The sequence below is a fragment of the Homo sapiens genome, chromosome 8 (assembly GCF_000001405.40).
Source record: "Homo sapiens chromosome 8, GRCh38.p14 Primary Assembly".
NCBI lineage: Eukaryota > Metazoa > Chordata > Mammalia > Primates > Hominidae > Homo > Homo sapiens.
Window position 1 is genome coordinate 13,941,162 of NC_000008.11, and position 5,144 is coordinate 13,946,305.

At 36.2% G+C, this 5,144-nt stretch overlaps 1 annotated feature.

Annotated features, from left to right (window-relative positions):
* Positions 944-1,113: an enhancer, noted in NCBI's record as "experimental_101439 CRE fragment used in MPRA reporter constructs". NCBI's record gives its function as "activates a minimal promoter by MPRAs in K562 erythroleukemia cells, with activity observed for both the introgressed and non-introgressed 8:13799699 variant alleles {active_cell/tissue: K562}" and the evidence as "EXISTENCE:reporter gene assay evidence [ECO:0000049][PMID:34662402]".

Here is a 5,144-nt window from a genome sequence, read left to right on the forward strand (position 1 = left end):
CTCTATCTCAATAAATAAAATAAAATAAAATAATTTGGAACATAAGTAAAAGATTCTTAAAATAAGATTTTTATATATGTAGGAAAGAAGAGGAGTTCAATTAATTCAAATACTTTATTTCACCATAAATCTGTAAGATATTCAAAAAGGCCTTCAGTGTTGCAATGACTGCTGGAGTGTATTTCTTAAATACATTTTTCTGGGTGGAAAAAGTCTTTGTCTCTTAGTCAAACAAATAAATTTGTCAAGCAGCATATAATCGATTAATATTAATGACAATGTTTTGTTGAGTAAAATTTTTATATTATTGGGGTAACCTCTCCCTTTAAACAAATGGAATATATTGAAAAGCTCTATTAACTCGTTGAAAACATCAGGGTATCAGTTTTTCTATTTTCCATTTTGGCCAAAGTTACTTATTTAATACATATTGATTAAATAGCTTTCATTTTTTAACATCTTATTATATAGGCACATGCTATTCAAACTTGAGAAATTAATTGCACTGTGAAATAGAAGAAAACCATGGACTACTATCTAAAGAAAAGTATAACCAAATAATAAAAATTACTTGGAATTTCAACGCTATTAACTTAGGAAAACAAAAAATGGTACAAACAATACTACAACAAATCTTTAACTGTTCTGTTTTGTTTTGTTTTGTTTTTGAGACAGAGTCTCCCTCTGTCACCCAGTGGCATGATCTCAGCTCACTGCAACCTCTGCCTACCTGTTCAAGCGACTCTCATGCCTCAGCCTCCCTAGTAGCTGGAATTACAGGCATGCGCCACCATGCCCAGCTCATTTTTTTGTATTTTTAATAGATACAGGGTTTCCTCATGTTGGCCAGGCTGGTCTGAAACTTCTGGCCTCAAGTGATCCACCCACCTTGGCCTCCCAAAGTGCTGGGATTACAGGCATGAGCTGCCATACCCAGCCCCAGTCTTTAACCCTTAAATAAACTCAGAACCATTAGTTCTTTAAAATAGGCATTTTTTCTAAATCTTTCTATTTCTAATTTTATTGATTTTTTTTTTCAAGAAGAATGGTAATGACTTTGCTATAACTACCTGCACATATTGATGCTGCATGTTTTTACTGGAAAATGAGCTTAATGTGGACATTGATTAATTTTCATGTTTTGTTCTTTGTAAGTGAAATCATAAACATACACCCATGCAGGTGACAGTACAAGTGATCATATTCTATTGCCAACAAAAATAAAATTTAACAAATTAGAATTCCACAATTTATTTTCCCCCAAAGGTGGTTCTAAGAATGATTCCCAGCTTTCCAGTAAGAGTACTTTTGCACCATAGGTTTGGGAATGTGCTGAGCAATTTTGTCTTGGGCAAATGTGGAACATACTTTAAAATGAGTACCTAGTTTTCAGAGACCAAGTAAGCATCCAAGACCATTTGCATTTGGTGATTACTAACTAAAATCACTCTAAGTAAGTGAAAGCTGTAATAGGCAGATTTGAATAGATCTCTTTAATCAAAATAATCCTGAACTCAATAGCTTAATTTTTAATTTAAAAATTTTTCATCTGCCCCATGCTTCAAGTTCTTCATTTCAGCCTCTCCAATCCTGTTTTCTTTAAATCATCAATTTGAGCTAACCTAATATTCTATGTCTTCTAAGATTTAATCCCTTTATGGTATTTTATTTGTATACATTTTAGGTGACGATAGATGATGTCAAAAGGAAAATATTTTCTAATTTTATTTTTTTGATTTATTTTTTAAAAATTCTTTCTTGTAACTTCTCAAGCAGTGATGTGCATTTACATCAGCAAAATATACACAAAAATAGCCTCCTTTACCACTTTTCTAGTTCATTCATACATGCTGCCTAGTCTTACCTTTCCTATAGGAGGAACTATTCCATTACTAAATGTGCCAGCTTCAGGGACACCTTTTTTTGTTTGTTTGTTTAAATGGAGTCTCACTCTGTTGCCCAGGCTGGAGTGCAATGGTGCAATCTCAGCTCACTGCAATCTCCACCTCCTGGGTTGGAGTGATTATCCTGCCTCAGCCTCCTGAGTAGCTGGGATTACAGGTGCCCACCACCACCACGCCCAGCTAATTTTTTTGTATTTTTAGTACGACGGGGTTTCACTATGTTGACCAGGCTGGTCTCAAACTCCTGACCTCATGATCCATCTGCCTCGGCCTCCCAAAGTGCTGGGATTACAAGCATGAGCCACCGAACCCGGCAGGGACAACTTTTGGTTCTCCATGGCTTATGTTTCCCGTAGAGTTCTGCTGCCATCTTCCCTTAGTCCTCCCACATCCTCCTCACACTGTCTGCTCTCATAACTCTTAAGCAAGTCAGAATGTTCCTTACAATATGCTGCTTCATGCATCCTGACTCTAGCTGAATACAAATCCTGGCAGAATCCCAACTTTTTCTCTCCTCAAGAATTGATTTAGTGTAAGAGATTTTGCTTCATGGATAGAGGTGGATATATATTTAGTGTAACATATTTTTTACTCTTGTAATTCTTGACAGCAATTAGTCTCTTTGAAATTAATATTGGGCTTTTATTTTACTAGGGTTTACAGATGTCTTCTTAATTTAACAAAGTTTTAGAACTTAAATTCCCCTACTCTTTATTTCATTGATTTTTAAAGTACACTATGACCCCAATTTTCTCCAAGAGATAGAAAGTCAAGAACAATTAAAAAAAGGTAAATGTCTCCCCTATGCAGTTTCTTAATTCTTTTTCATAGTTACTTCCAGATACCTGCAATCTCTTTGCTGCTATTCTCCCATATAGAATTATTTTGCTAGCTCTGGAATTGTTCACAATTATATATTAACTTAATTGTCTCGGAGAGACAATTTATGACAGATTATTGTCACTGATTTTATTAGCATGGTATCTTTCATCCAATAGGGACACATCGATGAAAGAATTGTGGAATTTGAGCACATTATGGCAAAGGGCTTGCATTGAAGTATCTTAAGTAGACCATCTAACTTAGAATTCAACAACTGCCTGCAGAACCGAGATCTCTTAAATCTTTGTCATCCTAATTGTGATACACGAGTGGTCTAGAATGATGCCAGCCAAATTCCAAGTTCAGAAAAGCCAAAATTCGGACAAAAATGCACAGGATAATCTATTATGTATGGTTGAAGTGTTGGTTCAAGAAGTCTCGAAGTACAAATTGGAGATCAGAATCCATCAGTTCTGCTCTCCCAAAAGTAATGAATATTCTTAACTGGGACCTCAGCTGAGGTGGGCTGGAGCCAAGACACAGGACAACCTTCTGGTTCACTGCCAAGACCAATGTCTGCAGGTAGTTGAGTCTTTTCACCAAGGCACTAGTATGCATGATTTTTTCTGGACCCCTTGGCAGATGGTTTTGGTCAAGGCCAAATGTGACTATAGCCAAGCCTCTTGGAGAATGGGGCTATTTCCAGGCTTGAGCCTAGGTGCATAATCAGCAGATCAACCACTTGGGTATCAGACTGCACTCAAAATAACTGTCCTAGGTCTTGGGCATCATTGGTGTTGCATAATCTCCTACCTGAATCCTGAGGCTTCTGCAGAGAGGCTTTTGTCTATGGATGGATTAAGAATTCTTGTTGCTGTGAGGGGATGTGATTGGGTTACCTCCTATCCTACCATCTTGCTAAAGTTGATTTTAAATAGCACAGGCTATGCTGCCAATATTTTCTCTTAATGGGCATATGTTCTGAATGAATACATGCCCCTGAATGAATGCCCTGAATGACTTAGGTGACATAAAGGTACTGTTCTCTAGTTGTTCTCAGTTCCTGAATGCCTTATCAAATGTAAGTGTCTTACTCTACTGACTATGTTTCTACTGTTTAAAAATAAACCTTTTTATGTGAAAAGAATCAAAAGCCAAAAATTTTATCTGGAACTCAAAAAAGAAAGCAATAGTAAAATAGACTAATAGTTTTGGAAAAGTATATTGAATTTAACAAAGAAAATATATTTATGTGTTCAATGTTAGTATTCCTATGAGATTTTCAAAAATAATTATATGCAATCTTTACCTTGCAGATTTTCAATCCTAATTCCTTAGTAGATGTCATTTCTGTGGAATGGTTTATAAATTAATACCTTGTAAGATTCTCGAACTTAGCTTTGTAGTACATAATTGTAGATTTGACTCACATTTACCAAAAACTGATCCTTCCTCATTCTGATATCTTAATCGATAAAACAATGTTGCAATCAATATAATTGCCCATGCTCAGGCTAAAACCTCTAGGGTTGTCATCTGAAATGTCTTTCTCTTTCATATGTGTATTTCAATAAGTCCTCAAGTTCTGCCTGCTTCCAAAATATTCCTCAAATTTTAACATATCCCCTATGTCTGTAGCAACAACTCTCGTTTCCATCTTCATCTCTTCCTACATGATTTCCTGTCATGACTAATTACACTGTTTTCTTCTGCGACTCCTAAAGGGATTCTCTTCACAGCTCCCAGACCTCAGTGTTTTTTCCAGTTGTAAATTTGATGACACAACCTTTTTGTTTGGAAAACATCAGTGTTTTCCCAATGCAATAAGATTTAATCCAATCCCTTTACAATGGCCCCATTTAATCTGTCCCCTGACTGTGTTTCAAGATGGTTTCTCCTCCTCATACCAGTTCCCAATATTTTGACAACTTTCAACTTATTTTTGTCCTCTGGACAGACTGAGACTTATTCGTGTCTGGGAGATTTTGTATTTACTCTTCTCTCAGGCAAAATGCCCTTCCCCAAGATTTTTGCCTGTCTCCTTCTATGGCTACAGCACAGTGTCTTCCCACGCCAGACTCTTATATTCTATCCCTACACTGTGTTTAATTTTCTTTACAACATTTAGCATTTGTAGAAATTATGTTATTCATATGCAATATTTTATGATGTGGTAAGGGAGATCTGAGACAATAGGAACTGTATTTTGCTTGTTCACAATTGTAGTATCCAACACCTAGAGGAACATCTGGCAGAGATGGAGAGAGAGCCTTCAGATGCCTCCCATCTGATGCACTTGGATTCAGGTGGAATCTTTTTGCAAGTTTCCCTCATATCACCCCATCATCTTTTTCTCTCTCTTATATCTATATCATCTGTATCTAATTCTATATTTGTAGCATTCTTATTTTTTGTTCC